Source organism: Homo sapiens, chromosome 9 (assembly GCF_000001405.40).
Source record: "Homo sapiens chromosome 9, GRCh38.p14 Primary Assembly".
Taxonomy (NCBI): domain Eukaryota; kingdom Metazoa; phylum Chordata; class Mammalia; order Primates; family Hominidae; genus Homo; species Homo sapiens.
Genome location: NC_000009.12, coordinates 136136496 through 136154355, shown reverse-complemented (window position 1 = coordinate 136154355; position 17860 = coordinate 136136496). Strand labels below are relative to the sequence as shown.

General features: G+C 58.6%; 3 annotated features.

The window, feature by feature from the left end:
• Positions 1405-1973: an enhancer, noted in NCBI's record as "H3K4me1 hESC enhancer chr9:139044229-139044797 (GRCh37/hg19 assembly coordinates)". NCBI's record gives its function as "activates a minimal SCP1, AML or CMV promoter by ChIP-STARR-seq in primed H9 embryonic stem cells {active_cell/tissue: H9 hESC(primed)}" and the evidence as "EXISTENCE:reporter gene assay evidence [ECO:0000049][PMID:30033119]".
• Positions 6625-7556: an enhancer, noted in NCBI's record as "H3K27ac-H3K4me1 hESC enhancer chr9:139038646-139039577 (GRCh37/hg19 assembly coordinates)". NCBI's record gives its function as "activates a minimal SCP1, AML or CMV promoter by ChIP-STARR-seq in naive and primed H9 embryonic stem cells {active_cell/tissue: H9 hESC(naive and primed)}" and the evidence as "EXISTENCE:reporter gene assay evidence [ECO:0000049][PMID:30033119]".
• Positions 8839-9151: a silencer, noted in NCBI's record as "fragment chr9:139037051-139037363 (GRCh37/hg19 assembly coordinates)". NCBI's record gives its function as "represses an EF-1alpha promoter that drives an FKBP-Casp9 reporter gene in an ReSE screen in HepG2 liver carcinoma cells {active_cell/tissue: HepG2}" and the evidence as "EXISTENCE:reporter gene assay evidence [ECO:0000049][PMID:32094911]".

Genomic DNA, 17860 nt, shown 5'->3' with positions numbered 1-17860 from the left:
GGGGATGGGAGAGACTGGGGGATGGAAGAGACTGGGGGAGGGGAGAGACTGGGGGATGGAAGAGACTGGGGGGATGGGAGAGACTGGGGAATGGGAGAGACTGGGGGGATGGAAGAGAATGGGGGGATGGGAGAGACTGGGGGGATGGGAGAGCCTGGAAGGACAGGAGGGGGGACGGAAGAGACTGGGGGATGGGAGAGACTGGGGGGACAGGAAAGACTGGGGAACCGGAGAGACTGGGAGGATGGGAGAGACTGGGGGAATGGGAGAGACTGGGGGGACAGGAGAGACTCAGGGGATGGGAGAGACTCAGGGGATGGGAGAGACTGGAGGGACGGGAGAGACTGGGGGGATGGGAGAGAATGGGGGGATGGGAGAGACTGGCCACGAGGCTCCCTTCTTGATCCCATGGACTCTAATCCAGCGTCTGAAACTGGTTCTGGAGCAGATGCTACTGTACCAAGAAGGACATGCTCCTCTCCTAACACACGTGGTGCATGGAGACCTCATTCCTCACCAGACCTAGCCACCCGTGCAGGCCCTTCCTTGTGTGCTGGGCTCCGCTCTAAGCCTCCGACATGGGACTGCTTGCTTCACCGCCACACCTCGGGCAGGGGCTGCTGTTCCGTCCATTTCACCGATGAGCAGACTGCAGGAGGAGAGGTGAGGTCCTGAAGCCCGCAGGTGGCAGAGCCTGCCCCGCCCTGGCAGCCCCTTTTATGGCAGTGTCTCTGCCACCTGCCGGGTGGCCCTTCCAGAAGGGGGCGGCCAGGGCAGCCTTCGGCCCTTGCCTAAAGCCGTGTGCAAGACAGGCAGGGCAGCCGCTGGCACTGAGGGCGGGCCAGGAGCCCAGACTTCTTCTCATGCCAGGGGCCTCACCGCTGGGTGGGGCAGGCTCCTGGCAGAGGTGCGGCGTGGACACGCACACCCCAGCCCAGCCTCGTGTGCCATGGGCAGGGTAGCCACTCACCAGCTCTGGGATGTGGGACATACTGGTTGCAGGCCCCGAGCCTCAGTTTCCCCTTGTGAAAAATGAAGTCTTGGGCCTGTGGTCAGCTCAGGGGGATCTCTGAGCTGTGTGCCCCTTTTCTCCTGATCCCTCCAGCCTCAGACGTGGGTGACAGCGTGAGGGGCGGGCACCACCCAGGCAGCGACAGTGGAGCCCTGGTTCTGGGAAGGGTCTGGGGTTCTGAGCTGCTAAGTCCTGAAGTGAGGGCTCTGTGGGGGACGGAGTCAGGAGGTCTCGTGCCCAGGCCCAGAGGGTCGCAGAGCCGGGGCACTCTGCTGTGCCCAGCCCTTCAAAGGAGGTGGTTTCTTCTTCCCCTCAGTGAGAATTCACTGGATGGTCAGGGTGAGCATCTACGAAGCTGAGGCCCAGCGACGAGGCTCACCCGTGACCTGGCCTGGCAGTTCCCCCTCCTCAGCCCACGTTCTGCTGTGGTCGAGTGACAAATCCACTCCTCTGGCCTCTCTGGAGCCTCATTCTCCTTCCTAGCTCCTCCAGCCTCCCTGAGCTCACTGCTGCTCAGCCAGCCCTTCCTGACCACAGCCACACATTGAGCCCTGTTCCTCTCAAACTCTGACCCCGACCCTGGCCATCGATCTTGATCTCTGCCTCAGACTAGGCCCCGATCCCTGTCACAGACCAGGCCCTGATTTCCATCACAGACCAGGCCCTGATCCCTGTCTCAGACCAGGCCTTGATCCCCATCAGAGACCAGGCCCTGATTCCTGTCTCAGACCAGGTCCTGATCCCCGTCACAGGCTGGACCCTGATCCCCATCACAGACCAGGCCCTGATCCCCATCACAGACCAGGTCCTGATCCCCGTCACAGGCCGGACCCTGATCCCCGTCACAGGCCAGATCCTGATCCCCGTCACAGGCCGGACCCTGATCCAGACCAGGCCCCGATCCCCATCACAGACCGGACCCCGATCCCCATCACAGACCAGACCCCGATCCCCGTCACAGACCAGGCCCCGATCCCCGTCACAGACCAGGCCCCGATCCCCGTCACAGACCAGGCCCTGATCCCCGTCTCAGAAGAGCCCTGAGCCCACACTCCAGTCCCAGCTAGAGCCGGATCCCGGAGGAGGAAGGCATTGTGCAGGCTCCCATCCTCAGCGGAGGGCCGGCAGGATCACCCTCACTGTTGGGAGATGGCAGGCCTCTCTGCAGGGGACCAAGGATGACCATATTCTGAGGCATCTCAGCCACCACTGCACACCCCGTGAAGGTGGGGCTTCGGCCACAGGGCAGCTGACCAGACCCCCTCGCCCAAAGCTGCTGAGGGTGAGGCCGCAGTGTCCATTGTGGCTTCACCATGCAGATTGCAGGCCAGGTGGCCACTGGCTGTGGGGGCCTTTCCCAATATCCCAGGGACCAGGGTTCCTCCCCAAGCGCTGTGCGGGGCTGTGTGGGGCTGTGTCCGGAACTCTCGGGGAATGGGACTCTCCAGCTGCCACCTTCACAGGACTAAATTCCCCTTTCTCTAGACCTCCAGCCTTCAAATTTCAATCATAACTTCAGCTAAAAGCAGCGGCGGGACAGACGCTGAAGGGAAGTGACACGGAGCTAACGCACAGCGCTTCCAGAGACACTTTCTCCGCTTTCTCGCAGCTCCTCCGCACGGCGTCCTGTGGGCGGCCACCACACCGCAATCTATTCTGAGTTTGCAAGTGGAAATTAAATTCCTTGTAGCCGAAATGAGCCTCCACTTCAATCAGCCTGAAGCCTGTCCTCCCATCCCCCACCGCCCTCCCGCTGCAGCATCTTTTGAATATGCAAATGGGACACCTTGCTAAATGGTCAGCAGGATTGATCCTGCTGTTTTCATCAAGGAAATAAAATTAAAACGGAATCAGGTGGTTACTGGGCTGTCCCGAGCGCTCCCCAAGGGCCTGCGCCCTTCGGCTGTTTGGGTATTCTCTGGACAGACGCTCTCCAGGCCCTGACCCCACTCCTCAGGGGACCACTCTGACCTTGAGAACTTCCGGAGGACACAGGCAGGGGCTGTTGCTGGCAGGGGGTTTGGGTCTGATCCCATAAGCGCACAGTGGCGGGGTCAGAGCTGTGCCCGTGATCTCCACACCCCGTTTGTTCCTGCCCTGTCCCCTCTCTTGGCTGTCATTTCTTCAGCAATAAAGTCAGGGCTCCCCAGATCTGAATCCCCCAGCGTGGCCTGTGGCCCACCTGAGCTGGAGAGTGTGATCACAGCTCAGGCCCCAGCCCCTGGCAGTCCCCAGAGTCAGGATGGGGGCTGCTGGGGACCTGCCTTCTTCCTTTTCTGGGGATTTGATGCACAATCCCTGAAAGCCCCAGATTTCTAGCACATTTGTTCATTCACTCATTCATTCACTCACTCACTCATTCATTCACTCACTCATTCACTCATTCACTCACTCATTCACTCACTCATTCATTCACTCATTCACTCGCTCACTCATTCACCTGCTCACTCATTCACTCGCTCACTCATTCACTCACTCATTCACTCACTCATTCACTCACTCATTCACTCACTCACTCACTCATTCACTCACTCATTCACTCATTCACTCACTCATTCACTCATTCGCTCACTCATTCACTCACTCGCTCACTCATTCACTCACTCACTCATTCACTCATTCACTCGCTCACTCATTCACTCATTCACTCACTCACTCATTCACTCATTCACTCGCTCACTCATTCACTCACTCACTCATCACTCACTCATTCACTCACTCACTCATTCAGTCACTCACTCACTCATTCACTCACTCAATTCACTCACTCACTCATTCACTCACTCACGCATTCATTCACTCATTCACTCACTCATTCACTCACTCAGTCACTCATTCACTCACTCACTCATTCACTTGCTCATTCATTCACTTACTCATTCACTCACTCACTCATTCACTCACTCACTCACTCATTCACTCACTCACTCACTCATTCACTCACTCACTCACTCATTCACTCACTCACTCACTCATTCATTCCACAGATGTCGGTGCACTGGATCCTGAAGACACAGGTAAGATGGACTCAGCCTCCCAGGGTGTTCATAGCCCTGCCAGTCAGCCTGGCTTTCCCTGGGAGAGGGAGGGGGCTTCCAGACCCAAGAGAATGGCTCTGCCACAGCGGGACCTCAGGCTTGGGAGCAAGGGGCTAGATGGACTTGTGGCCTGAGCCTCCTCCCAGGGCCCCAGCCCCGGGGCTGCAGAGAGAGGGCAGACATCTGACTGTCCCGGAGAGCCTGGTGGCAGTGGCCTCCCAGAAAGCAGGGGCTTGCTTCCAGGGTGAGGGTGGCCGGAGATGAGTCCAAGGACCTCCAAGATCAGGGTCGGCCTGTCCAGATCTGTCTGGGCGCCACACTCCACTCAGGCCACCCTGGAGGAGGGACAGGTCAGGCCCAGACCCACCCCAGGGACTCACGGCCAGCAGGGTCACAGGCCTGGCCCACGGGACGAGTGGTCTTTGTCAAGAGCAGAGCTTGGCATCAGCAACAGCCTCTGGCACTTCCTGAGCCAAGTCCGGTGCCAGATTGGGTCCCGGAATTCTACTGACGAGTCGCCCCAAATCTCTCGATGGCCTGCAGCCTTGTTCCTATCATTGTCCATGTTCTACAGGGCAGTGTGTGGTGTGCCCAGGTCCCCCTCCACAGGGCAGAATCAGGCCTCGTGGGCGAACATGGTGGCTTCTCCCAGTGCGTCCTGGGTTCCGCCGCTTCCATGCCAGAGTGTGCAGCAGGAAGGCCCCTCCTCCATCTTTGATTTAAAGCTGGAACGTTAATTATGATGCGTGATTCTCACTGTAATTAAACTGATTCATTTCCAACAATCAAGGCTACACTGAATAATATATTTAATTAGCCAGATCTCCTGTGCACGTTGGCAGGACAGAACTGGCAAGTTCTCGGTGTAATACACTCAATTCTGAAATAAATCATTGTTTGGATGGACGCACACTGGGCCTGCTCCCCCAGGGAACCCAACGCACTGAGGGGTGGGCTCTGGGTCGGAATGACCAGCTCTTCCATCCAGTTCTTCAGGTGTGGGAGGAGGGCCGGGGGCTGGGGGCCTGGGAGAGGCTGAGGGGTGGAACCAGCTCAGCCTGGGGCTGCCTGTGGGGACGGCTCAAGGCCCGAGGTTGTGTCCTGCAGCCTGGGAAGTGCACAGGCCTCGGGGCTGCCATTTTCACAGAGTGAGGACCAGAAAGCCCACCTCTCAAGCAAAGACGGGGACCCAGAAGTGCCCCCGCATCTCTGCCCCCCACCCTAACGGTGGGCTCTGTCCTAGACCAGGTTGCCCACCGCTGCCCTCCTGGAGGTGCAGCGAGGCTGTGTTGTCTTCCTGAACACCCACCTTTCCCACCCCGCCGTCCAACGCCAGCCTGGCCTCAGCTGCCCTGGGGGGTGCCTGAACCTTTGGGCCCGGCAGAGCGGCTTTCGTGACTTTGGTGCTCCAGCGAAAGTAGATGTTGCCAGCTCACCAGCTGCTCAGGGAAGCCTGGGGCAGACAGCACCAACTCTACGGAATGCCGGGGTGGAGCCCCCTTGGCCCATACAGGCCCCTGGTCTCTGCTCATCTGGGCCCCAGGTCCCCTCATTACAGCCCAGCCCCTGCTGCCCAGCAAGTGCTGGCTCTCCTGTCCCAGTAGACAGGCCCCGGTGCCTGCCCTCTTTCCCCCACCCCTTCCCTGGCTGGGCCAGGCCCCTGCCCTCTTGGCACCGCCTTCCCGTCCATCTGAGCTCCGCATGCCCAGGGACCCCGCCCAGAACACGACAAACGAGGCTGCACCCTCCGTCTGGAATTCAAATTCAAAGAGGAACAAACGCATTTAAGGGGGACGTTGCTGGAACCTGTATTATGCGGGCCCTTTGTCCCTTGCAGTGGAATCCCTGGGACTGGGGGCCCCCCCGCCCCGTGTGTGTGTCTTCATCCCCGGGGAGAGCAGCGGGGGAGGGGAAGGGTGCCCCGCCTGCCCGGGCTCCAGTTACTGTGTGCGCCGCCATCTGCCACCGTGTGGCCTGGCCTCCTGCATAATTCAGGGGCCGAAGAGAGGCCCCAGAGAATGAGTTTTGGCTGAATGGCCCGATCGGATGTCACGACACCAGACACTTGCTGAACAGGACACGTGTCCTTTTGCCCCGTCTGTGTTGCGGTGACAGGCCAGGCAGGGGGCAGTGTGGGTGGTCTCTGTGCTCGGGCATGGGGGTCAAGTTGGCTGCTGGTGCCCCAGAGGCAGCCACGTGCTTCGTGGCTCGGGGCTGGGCCATGGGGGCTTTGGTCCCAGCTCCATCCCTCCACCTGCTGTGTGGCCTTGATCGGGTTGCTGCCTCCTCAGGCCTCAGTTTCCTCATCTGTGAAATGGACCCGGGGCAGGACCTGCCCTCCATGGTTGGAGGGAGCATGAGGATGACTGTCGAGTGGCCCCTGGAGGCCCAGCAGGGTGGGGCAGCTCGGGGCTGGCATTTTGGAGCCCTGGGCACGAACCCCAGCCCCGGCTCTGGCCCTGAGGATCCTGCTTCCCCCTCCATGCTGCACCTTCGGCTCTACGAAGCCAGAGAGGCAATTCCACCCTCATGTTCAACTCTAAAATGAGACCTTGGACCTTGGTATGCACCACCGGGGACCCACGTGGGCCACACAGCATCTCTGAGTGGACACACCGCTGCAGCTGCCGTGTCTGTGTCCCAAGGCCCCTGGGCTTTCCCTCCTGGCCCCGCCATGGGTGCGTGGCAGCTCAACGCTCGCTCCCCATGGAGGGAATGGGGTGGAGGTCAGCTCTCACGGCCCAGCTACCAGCCAGTCCCAGTGGACAGTTAGGGGCTGGATGCCAGGCACAGAGGAGCCAGCCTGGAAGACCACAAGCCCTTAACTGTGTTGCCCCAAGACATGCGGCCCCAGGGAGCGCAGCCTGTGAGCAGGCACAGCCCCCTGTGCCATCCCCTCCGCCAGGCACCCTGGGGGGCTGTTGTGAGGATCAAGAGATCAGAGTCCCTGTAGGTCCAGGCAGGGAGGGGCTGCAGTAGAGGAGCTTCCATCCAGCTAAGGGACCCTCCTTCCCGGGCAGCTGTTCCAGGGGTGCTGACCCAGCTCACTGAGAGGCCTGGGGCTCAGCTCCTCCCTGCCCTCCTCGCAGCCAAGTTGGCACCTGCAGACCGGGTAACCTGAGCCACTCCTGTGCGCCGGTGCTGCTGCTTTTTTTAAGAAAAGAGGGAGCCCTCCCCTTCAATAATTGATGAAAGATATTAACAATTGAATCCTGGAGAACATCTGGCAGGTAGGGAGCTTCTCACCCGGTCAGCAGCAATCAGATTAAACCAGCTTTGAGAGGCAGGGGCACGCACCAGCTGGGTGGAAGTGGGGCCCGCCCTGGCCAGGCTCTGGGAGAGGAGCTCTGCCCACTCACGACTCCGTGGCCGGTGCCTCCTCCACACGGGGGTGGCCTGGGCCTGGGAACTTCATCAGCAAGGGGGGCTCTGCGGGTCCTGGAGCCAGCCTGGGCTCCTTTCTCCCATGGCGTGCGTGGACTCATACACACGGCCATGCACACACACATTGCACATATCACACATGTACGTATGCATTTGTGCACCCACATATCACATGTGCATGCTTAAACACTGTACCACATGCGTGCACATTTGCTTGCACAGGCATGTGCACTCACCACACAGCACACACGGGTTTGCACACAGCAGGTCGTGCATATACATGCTTACATGCGTGTGCACGTGCACGTGTGCGCACATACCACTCACCCATGCACTTGTGCACGTTTGCACATCACACACACACACATGCACAGATGCACACACACAAGCACATTCACACTGTGCACACACCACACACATGTCCACACTTCCTTACCTGCCACCTCTGCCCTGACTCTGGGGGCCCATTGGAGGCTCCAGGGACCTCAGGGACCTCTTTGGGCTCTGCTCAGAAAGTTCCTTTTGTGGCTCTGCCCTTGGAGGTGGAAAGAAGGACGGCGAAGCCGGAATGCCGGGGGTCCCGCCCAGGTCTTGCATCCTCGTTGTAGAAGCAGCAGCTCTTTCCTTCTAAGGCCTGAGTGAGGAGGGGGTCGGAGGTGCGGGCCTGGTGACCAGGGGTGGCTGCTGGGGCTGGAGTGGCAGCCGGACGGGTCCTCCGATGACTTTTCTTTCTTAGAACCACCTGAGTGTGGAGACAGGCATCGTCTATGAGGCGCTCCCTCAGGCCTCCTCGGGGTGGCTACTCTCAGGACTGAATGAGCTAAGCCTTTTCCCTCACTTTATACTGTTTAAGCCTCACAACCTGTCCTTATTCCATTTTACAGCTGAGAACACTGAGGCCAGGGGTAGGGAAGAACTTGCCCAGTGCTGCCCAGCTCCAAATCAGGTGGCCAGATGTCCACAGCCAAGTTCCCCAAGCCCTCCTGCCACCCACATCCTGACCCCAGGGCTCTGCTCCCCGACATAGTGATAACAGGGCTCCACCAGCCCCCAGGGTGCCGGGAAGCCAGGGCAGCTGGCAAGGTGCAGGTCTCCTGCCCTTCCCCGGCCCACTGGGGGCCCATCTGGATGGTGCTACTCCCTCAAGTAGATTCAGTCCAGCTCTGCCTGGAGGCCCCAAGGGCAGGCAGCCCGAGCAAGGGGCTTCCTAGCAGGTGAGGGAGGCCAAGGTCTCACCTATGGGCTGAGTTGGGGGGAGAGCATCTCAGGCTCCGGAACCTTCCAGGGATTGGGGACTGGGTCCAGGAGTGATGTCTGCAGAGAGGAAATGGAAGAGGATCCCAAAGCCAGGCAGCCCCCACTGCGTGGAGGACGAGGAAGGGGAGGAGGGGAGAGAGGAGTGGGTGGGTTTGCCCCTCCAGCCCCGGGAGCCTTGGGTGGGTGACGCATAAACAATTTCTGCCCGGAGCAGACGCTGTCTGGGAGCCTGGAACGGCACCCCTGCTTTCCCTGCCCCTCTCCAAGTCCCAGCCATGGGCCACTCACACATGTAGGTCACTCTTCAGTGGGTCCCATGGGACCCGTCCAGGTGCCAGCCTCCCAGCTCCTGTGATGGTGCCCCTTCCAGGTATGCCCCCCAAATGCCCTGCCCCCAACCAGAGTCAATGATTTCCTCCTTACAGAAACACAGCTGCAGAATCCCTCAATCGTGCTTAAGCTACTGGGCTTTGGAGGACGAGGACTCTTGGGCACATTGGCCTGCTGGAGGGTCTCTGCTGCCCTTGGCCTTGGCAGAGCTGCCTGGGCCTTCTGAGCAGGTGGGCCGCCAGGCCCTGAGCATTCCTGAGAACGCTGACCCCTGGGGAAATGGCGGGCAGAGAGGATCCGAGAGGCACGCGTCTGTGTCGCAACCAGGACTGGAGCCTGCATCTTTCCCACAGGTGCCTTCTGGGGCCTCAGTATTCCCATCTGTCCAGTGGGGCTGGAGTCCCCCAAACACCTTCTTACAAAATGCTTTTGTAATGCTCGATCCACACAGCATCCCCAGGACGTGGGGCGGCACTGGACTGGAGGTCCCGGGATTTTACCTCCTCCAGTCCTTGCCATTGTCCTGGCCTCCACAGTAGAGCTCAGGCCCGTTGTGTGGATGAGAAAATCAAGACCTGGGAGCAGAAGCCTCTTGCCTGACCTACTGTGTTTGTAAGTGGTGGGCTGGGCTGCAGAGCTGGACCCACAGGGCCCGGAGTGGGTGGCGGGTGACATGTGCTTGTGCTTCGGGGGAACCCAGGCAGAGCCGTTCCCAAGAGCTAAGTGTGGGGGGCCAAGGTCTTTGTCACCACCTCCCACAGCCGAAAGTCTAATGGTGAAACACTAATTTGCAAATAGCATCCAGCCCTCCGGCTGCTGGCCCAGACTTGGAGATGGAGCCGTGACCCAGCAGAGGGAAGTCTTGCGTTCCCCATTCCTTGGACGTGTCACCCTCTGCAGAGCGCACAGCCAGGGAGCCCATGTGGGTGGGTAGGACGTGGAGACTCTGCCCTGGACCCTGGCAGTGCCCTTCTCAACAGCCTCTCCACCCACCTGCCAGCCTCTCTCCAGACCTGCAGGAGATACCACCTCAGGGCCTGACCACGTGTGCACTGCAGAGCCGGCCAGGGGGCTGTTCCTGACTCCTCCAGGGGCCTAAGTGTCCCAGCAGTCAAATTCTGCCAGCCCAGAGGCATGGACCCAGTGCACCTAGGGGGAAACTGAGGCACAAGAAGATTAAATCATATGCTCTATGATCCTGCCCAAGTCAGGATGGGGTGACCAGGGTGTCCCTGGAGCTGCCTAAATGCTAGCAGGGAGAGGGGTGAGGTGGGGGGCTGGGCTGCAGAAATGGGTGGGCCTCCGGGGAGCAGGGATTCCAGCTGCTGGGGGCCAGTGCAATCCAGAGACTGGGCTGAGGGAGCAGGCGAAAAGCCCAGTGCCCCCTCCCCGGCATGCACAGGCTTCCCAGGCCAAGGTCAACCCAGACCCCCTGGAGGTAGCTGGGCTGGCCCCAGTGGGCACAGAAGTCCTGCTGTCCCTGTAACTGGTCCCAGCTGGTTTTAAAACCTTCCCAAGTGTGAGCAGTGGGGATGGGAACCCTCATCCTGGCTTCTTGGATGAATGCCATCAGGGTGAGGAGCTTGGGTTGGGCCTCTGGGGAGGGGCAATAAAGGGCTCCCTCCAGGGAGGCTGCAGGCCTGGCCTGGGGACCTCGGTGCAGGGGGTGGGGGTTCTTGCTGGTTCCTCACCCTCCCGGAAGCACAGGGGCAGATCCGGGAGGTCAAGGGAGGGCGAGGCCTCCACTCCCCACCCCGGCCCCCGGCCAGCTCTGCTCCTCCTCTCCCCCACTCCTGGGGGTCCTGTTGACTTGGAGGACTTGGATGGGGAGAACTGAGAGCCTTGAGTGTCCCTTGAGCGCCCCCTGGTTTCACAACCACAAGCCTGGAACCCTAGGAGGGCGGGAGACTTGTTCCAGGTCTCACGGGAAGAGGCAGAGCCAGGACTCCCTGTCCAGGACCTTGCCTCAGTTTCCCCTTCCACTGGATAAACTGGGGCCCCTGCCACCCCAGGACCTCTGGGAGACCTTGGGGATCGCAAAGGCAGCCGCCCTGGGCAGCCCGCAGGAGGGCACGGGAGGAGTGTCCCCCAGGCCATGGGGCACGGACTGACCTGTGGCCCAGCCCACCAGCCAGGAATGGGGACCGTCCTGGCGGCTTGGGCTGGGGGCCTCAGCACCTGCGTGCTCCGAGAGGTCCTCCACATCTGCATCCATGCCCAGGGTCGGGACCCCTCCTTGCCTCAGAGCCCGGCCAACCTCAGAGGCCGCCTGGGACACATGGAAACAGATGAATCATAAGTTTTAAATTTTTCCAGTTTTACAACCTGGAGACAGGCTTTTAAACAGCCTCACCAGCCAGAGGGTGGGGGTCTCGCTTTAGGAGGGACGCGGCCGCCCTGAGCAGGTGGGGTATGCTTGCCCCCACCCCCACCCAGGGATCCTTCCCGAGCCCCCGGGGAGCCTCTGGCCATGAGCGATGATGCGGAGAACCCAGGGGACTGTCCCTTCGGCTCGTAGAATAGGGATTCTGGCCCATGAGCATTGATCTCTCTGAGTTTTTAAAGGAAATTTTATTTGTTTGGGGTTTCTAGTCATTAAGTTAAAACCAGTAAAATAGAGCAAAATCAATACCTGTAGGACCCAGCACAACCAGTCTGCATTACGATGCTAAATAGGCTGAGTAAATGGTGAGCCAGGGTTAGGCTGGGGGAAGGGCCTGGCAAGTGTGGGAGCCTGGGGAGTGTGGGGAGGTTGGGGAGGGAGGGAGCCCCAGGAGGTGGAGAGGGAGCCCTGGGAGGGAGAGTGGGGTCCTGCGGGCTTCTCCTGAGCTCGAGGGGAGCTGCGAGGACTGCAGGGGCCAGTGCTGGTGGAGGCATCGGCTTTGGGGCAGAAATGGTGATCTCGAAGTCCAGAGGGTCTCAAGCCTCCCTGCTGCCCCTCACACCCTCTGCCCTTTGAACCCCAGAAGCATGCAGGGACCCTAAGCTCCCTGGATGTGCCAGCTCTGCAGAGGGTGCCGACTGCTCTAGGCCTTGCCTCCTTCTCAGTGATGCCTGACGTGGTAGTGGCAGGAGGAGGCCCTGCCCCGGGTAGGTGCTGCCAGCCTCCCACTGTGAGCCTGCCCTGGGCCCCGTCCCCACGAGTCTCCCAGAGGTGGCGTTGCTGTCCGGTCTGCAGGGAGGGCGGGCCCTGGGCTGTAGGCTTCTTGAGGCGGGCACTGGTCACAGCTGGGACTAGGTGAGAGCAGAATTAAGCTTTGGAGAATGGCTGGGACTGCAGTTGCTGCCTTGGAAAGCTCCAGAATGCTCTAGAAAGCTCGCTATGCTGCCAGGAGGCCAGAGCTGGGCAGGAGCTGAGGGTGAGCAGCCTCCGGGTTGGGGTGGGCAGAGACAAGGGAGCTCTGCCGGGGTGGGATGGGCTTAGCAGGGAAGGAAGCTGGCTCGCTGGCTCGGTGCTGGGCGCCATGAGTTTCCAGAAGCTTCTTGTCTTGGGGGAGCCACACGTGTGCCTCAGCCAATAGGGCCTGGCTGGAAAATCCACAGCTTCTGGTCTCTAGCGCTCAGCCCCTCACAAGATAGGGAATGACGGGGCAGGCGGCCTGCACTTAGCCTCTATATTTTATTTATTTATTTTGAATTTTTATTCATTTTTATTGCTTTTTGAGACGGAGTCCCCCTCTGTTGCCCAGGCTAGAGTGCGCAATCTCGGCTCACTGCAACCTCCGCCACCCAGGTTCAATCAATTCTCCTGCCTCAGCCTCCCGAGTAGCTGGGACTACAAGCATGCACCAACACGCCCAGTTAGTTTTTGTATTTTTAGTAAAGACAGGGTTTCGCCATGTTGGCTAGACTGGTCTCAAACTCCTGACCTCAGGTGATCAGCCCACCTCGGCCTCCCAAAGTGCTGGGATTACAGGTGTGAGCCACTGCACCCAGCTGACCTCTATATTTTAAATAATAGCTTTATTGAGATAGAACTCACATCGCATCCAATTTATCCAGTTAGAGCGTATGATTCAATGGCTTTCTGTATACTCACGGATGTGTGCAACTATCAACACAGTCAATTTTGGAACATTTTCTTCACTTCAGAAAGAAACCCCAGGAAATTCTGGCACGAGCTACGATGGGGACGTGCCTGGAGGATGTTGTGCTCAGGGAAAGCAGCCAGCCATGAAAAGGCAAGGCCTGCCTGATTCCTCCTCCGAGAGGCCCTGGAGACAGACAGCAGAGGCGTGTACGCCAGGGGCGGGGGGAGGGGGTGGGAACAGAGCTTCAGTTTGGAAAGAGGGAAAGCTGTGTCGATGGAGGAAGATGTTGTTTGCACAGCAACGTGAATGCACTTAATGCCACTGAGGCGTGCGGTTCAGAATCGTGAGGATGGAGTGATGGTTAATTTCATGTGTCAACTTGACTTGGCTGCTGGGTTCCCAGATATCTGTTCGAACATTTGGCTGGGTGCAGTGGCTCATGCCTGTAATGCCAACGCTTTGGGAGGCCGAGGCCAGAGGATCGCTTGAGCCCAGGAGTTTGAGACTAGCCTGGGCAACACAGTGAGACCCGGTCTCTACAAAAATAAATAAATTAGGCTGGCCACAATGGCTCACCCTGTAATTCCAGCACTTTGGGAGGTCGGGGCAGGTGGATGACTTGAGGCCAGGAGTTCGAGACCAGCCTGGCCAACATGGTTAAACCCCGCCTCTACTAAAAAATACAAAAATTAGCCGGGCCTGGTGGTGCACACCTGTAATCCCAGCTACTCGGGAGGCTGAGGCACGAGAATCACTTGAAGCTGGGAGGCGGAGGGTACAGTCAGCTGAGTTCGTGCCACTGCATTCCCGTCTGGGTGACAGAGTGAGACTCTGTCTCAAAAAATAAATAAATAATAAATAAGCTGGGCATGGTGGTGTGCACCTGTAGTCTCAGCTACTTGAGGCTGAGGTGGGAGGGACACATAAGCCCAGGAGTTCGAGGCTGCAGTGAGCCGAGATCACGCCACTCATTCCTTTTTTTTTTAGGCCCACATCACAGTTCCCTCAATAGATCTATTGTTTATCCACTCACCCATCCATGGGCCTTGGGGCTGTTTCCACATTTTGGCTTTTGTGAGTAACGCTGCTGTGGACATTCCTGTGCAAGTTCTTGCAGGTGCCTGCTTTCATTTTTTTGGGTTTGAACCCAGGAATTGGATTGCTTGGTCACATGGTAACTGTGCTTCAGAGTCTGAAGAACCACCAGAGTGTTTTCGCAAAGCTCAACCATTATTCCATTCTATTCTATTCTATTCTATTCTATTCTATTCTATTCTATTCTATTCTATTTTAATTTTTAGTCAAGTCTTGCTCTGTCACCCAGGCTGGAGTGCAGTGGCTCGATCTCAGCTCACTGCAACCTCTGCCTCCCAGGTTCAAGCAATTCTCCTGACTCAGCCTTCTGAGTAGCTGGAACTACAGGCATGCACCACTATGCCCAGCTCATTTTTGTATTTTTAGTAGAGACGGGCTTTCACCATGTTGGCCAGGCTGGTCTTGAACTCCTGACCTCAGGTGATCCACCCGCCTCAGCCTCCCAAAGTGCTGGGATTACAGGTGTGAGCCACCGCACTCAGCCCTTACCTCTATTCTATTGATTGATTGATTGATTTTTTTTTTTTTTTTTTTTTGGTAAGAGATAGAGTCTCACTCTGTCATCCAGGCTAGAGTACAGTGGTGTGATCACAGCTCACCACAGGCTTGAACTACTGGGTTCAAATGATTCTCCCACCTCAGCCTCCTGAGTAGCTAGGACTACAGGCACGCACCACCACAACTGGCTAATTTTTTTTACATTATTTTTTGTAGAGATGGAGTCTCGCTATGTTGCCCAGGCTGGTCTCCAACTCCAGGCTTCAATCAGTCCCCCCTCGTCTTCCCAAAGTGCTGGGATCACAAGCAGGAGCCCCTGTGCCCCGCCACCAGCCTCTATTTTTAAAAGCTGTTTGTGGCTGGGTGCAGTGGCTCACGCCTGTAATCCCAGCACTTTGGGAGGCCAAGGTGGGCGGATCACCTGAGGTCAGGAGTTCGAGACCAGCCTGACCAACATGGAGAAACCCCGTGTCTACAAAAATGCAAAAATTAGCCAGGCATGATGGCGGGTGCCTGTAATCCCAGCTACTCAGGGGGCTGAGGCAGGAGAATTGCTTGGACCTGGGAGGTGGAGGTTGCAGTGAGCCAAGATCGTGCCATTGCACTCCAGCCTGGGCAACAAGAGCGAAACTCCATCTCAAAAAAAAAATAAATAATAAATAATTAAAAAAATCCCTGCTTTTATGATCTATTCCAATTAGGAAAGAGAAATTTCCTTCTACAGAAGGTATTCTCCCGCCCTGGGAGCAGCCAAGAGTCAAAGGTCACCACTGCATACTGGACAGGAGGGCTTGTGTCCTTCTGAGGCTTTCAGTAATGAAGGGCTGTCGCCGGAGCTGCTGTTCCAGATGCTTGGGGGGCTTTAATCTCGAGGTGACTTGGAGGCTCACATGTCCTGCAGAGGGCGCTGGCGTTCCTGGGAGACAGGTGAGTGAAGGGTTTCCTGTGTGCAAACACCCCACTGCCTTTCTTGTGTCCCGCTCCTTCCCGGGAGCCATCAAGCTCCAGTGCAGCCACCGCGTGGTGCTCTGTACTCTAGGGACCTGGCTGGGGACATGTGAGGCACCACTGGGTGAGACCACCTGCCATCAGGACTACAGCTCCCTCAGGAGCAAGGCAGGGCTGAAACTGTCCAGGAAGGACCAAACTTTCCAAAAATAACCCACAAAATGGATTCCCTGCACCCCACATCCTCCTCCCCATCCAGAGGCCCCCTGGGATCACCTAAGGAAACCCCTCTCCACCGCCAGCCCGGGGACCAGCAGAGACCCGAGCCACTGTGGGATTTCCAGAAACCCCACCCAGTAGCAAGGGCGGCCTTTCCCCATGGCGAAAAACCCTTGGCCTAGGGAAGGGAGGTTTTGGGGAGGGGAGAGGAGGGAAGGGGAAGGGAGGGGGAGGGAGGGGGAGGGAGGGGAGAGGAGGGGAAGCGAGGGGAGAGGAGGGTGGGTCAGCAGAGGATTCTGCCCGTGCTGCTGTGAGACAAACCTCACCCAGCGGAGGAGGGATTTTCCTTTTTGGCTGTCCGACTCCACCTGCCAAAATTCACAAGCTCACACAAAAGAGGTGTTTGGCACTTGAATTCCACAGAAAATTAAATCAATTACCAAGTCTAATAAAGAACTCCAGGTTTTTAATTAAACTAAGCTTAATTAAATGGCGAGCGTGCCGTTCTGTCGATGCCCTGATCGGGCCCTGGGGGCTGGGAACGTCTGAGTGGCCCACGCTGGCGTGGCCGCTGGCAGGGGATGGGGGGATCGATGGGCCGCTGTGGAGCCGTGGCAGGGTGACAGGCAGCCGGGGTCCCAGCCTGCCCCAAAGAACAAGACTCTGCAGAGAATCGGGGACTTGCAGCTGGACAGACCCTGGTGACCTCCCAGTCCTTTGACAGAAGGGGGTGGGGCCCCTGAGCCAATGACACGCTGAGGGGGTACCTGCGAGCGCCGCAGCCAGGCCCACGCCACCTCCTCTGCTTGCAGGGTGCATGTTTCCAGGAGTCTCCTCTGCCCCAGGTCTCTGCCTGATGGCTGCTTGCAAAGCCCCAGCTGGGCACCCTGCACCCAGTTCCCTTACTGGGACCCTTCCCTCTTCCCTGCTCACCTGGCCCTGCCCGTCCCGGTTCCTGGTGCATTCTTGGCCTTCAGCCCAGGGCCATTAGTGGTCAGAGGAAGCAAAGGCCTGACCCAGCCAAAGGCTGTCATTGTTTCCCTAGAGCCATCTGTGCCAGAACCATGACCCTGGGCAGGGGAGACTCCGGGAGAAAATGTCTCTCCCAAGCAGCCACTCTGCCAGACACAGCGCCCTGCCCTCACTGGTCCTCAGACTGCCTGCTGCCAGCCCTGGGTGCTGACTGCTACAGAGGTGACACCTGGCCACACGGCCCCTGCCTGGTCTGCAGTGGGCAAGCACAGATAGACGTGGGGATGCTTTTCTGGGGGCGAAGAGATCAGGAATGCACAGGGGACTCTGCTTCAGAGCCTAGGGAGGGCCAGGCCCCGCAGTAAACAGCCCTGGGTTCAAGTCCTGCTCGCCATGAGCCGGTGAGTTTGTGACTTCGTGTCTCTGGGCTCTGCAAAGTGGAGGTGGAAACAGCCCCGCTTCCCAGCCCGCTGGGGGATTCAGCTTTATCCGGGGCACGTAAAGTGCTCATTGAGTCCCCACAATGGCCCACGAAACTAAGCGAAAGCCAAGGTGCCCAAAAGAGATCCCGGCAGGCCCCCTCTCCACCTCTGGGCCCTCTCTAACTGGACTCCTCCTGCCAGCCTGAAACCTCAAGAACATCAGGGACCGCGATGCCTGCTGCTTCCCATGGAGTCTCCTCTTCTGCTCATGCTGCTGAGTGCTGGTTCCGATGGAGTCTCCTCTTCTGCTCAGGCAGTGCCAGGGGCGGCTGAGTGGCCCCTGCCCCAGGCACCTCCACTCGGCAGCGCCACGAGGTCCCAGTCCGCAGGTGGGAGCCATTCCAACCCACTGGCCCTGCAATTCCAGCCGAAGCACCCCAGGACACCGGCCTCCTTCCCCGGTGCGTCCATCCCTGCCGGGCTGTAGGAATTCCTTCAGGAGCTGCCGGTGCCCTGGGGGGTCTTCAAGCTTCACCCTTTCCCTGAGACAGCCTCGTGTCCCCTCCTCAGCCCCACTCCATTCTCAGGCGCAGGAGTGCGCCCCTGCAGCCCGCCCAGGCCCCCGAGGCTGATGGATGTGTGTTGACGGTGGTG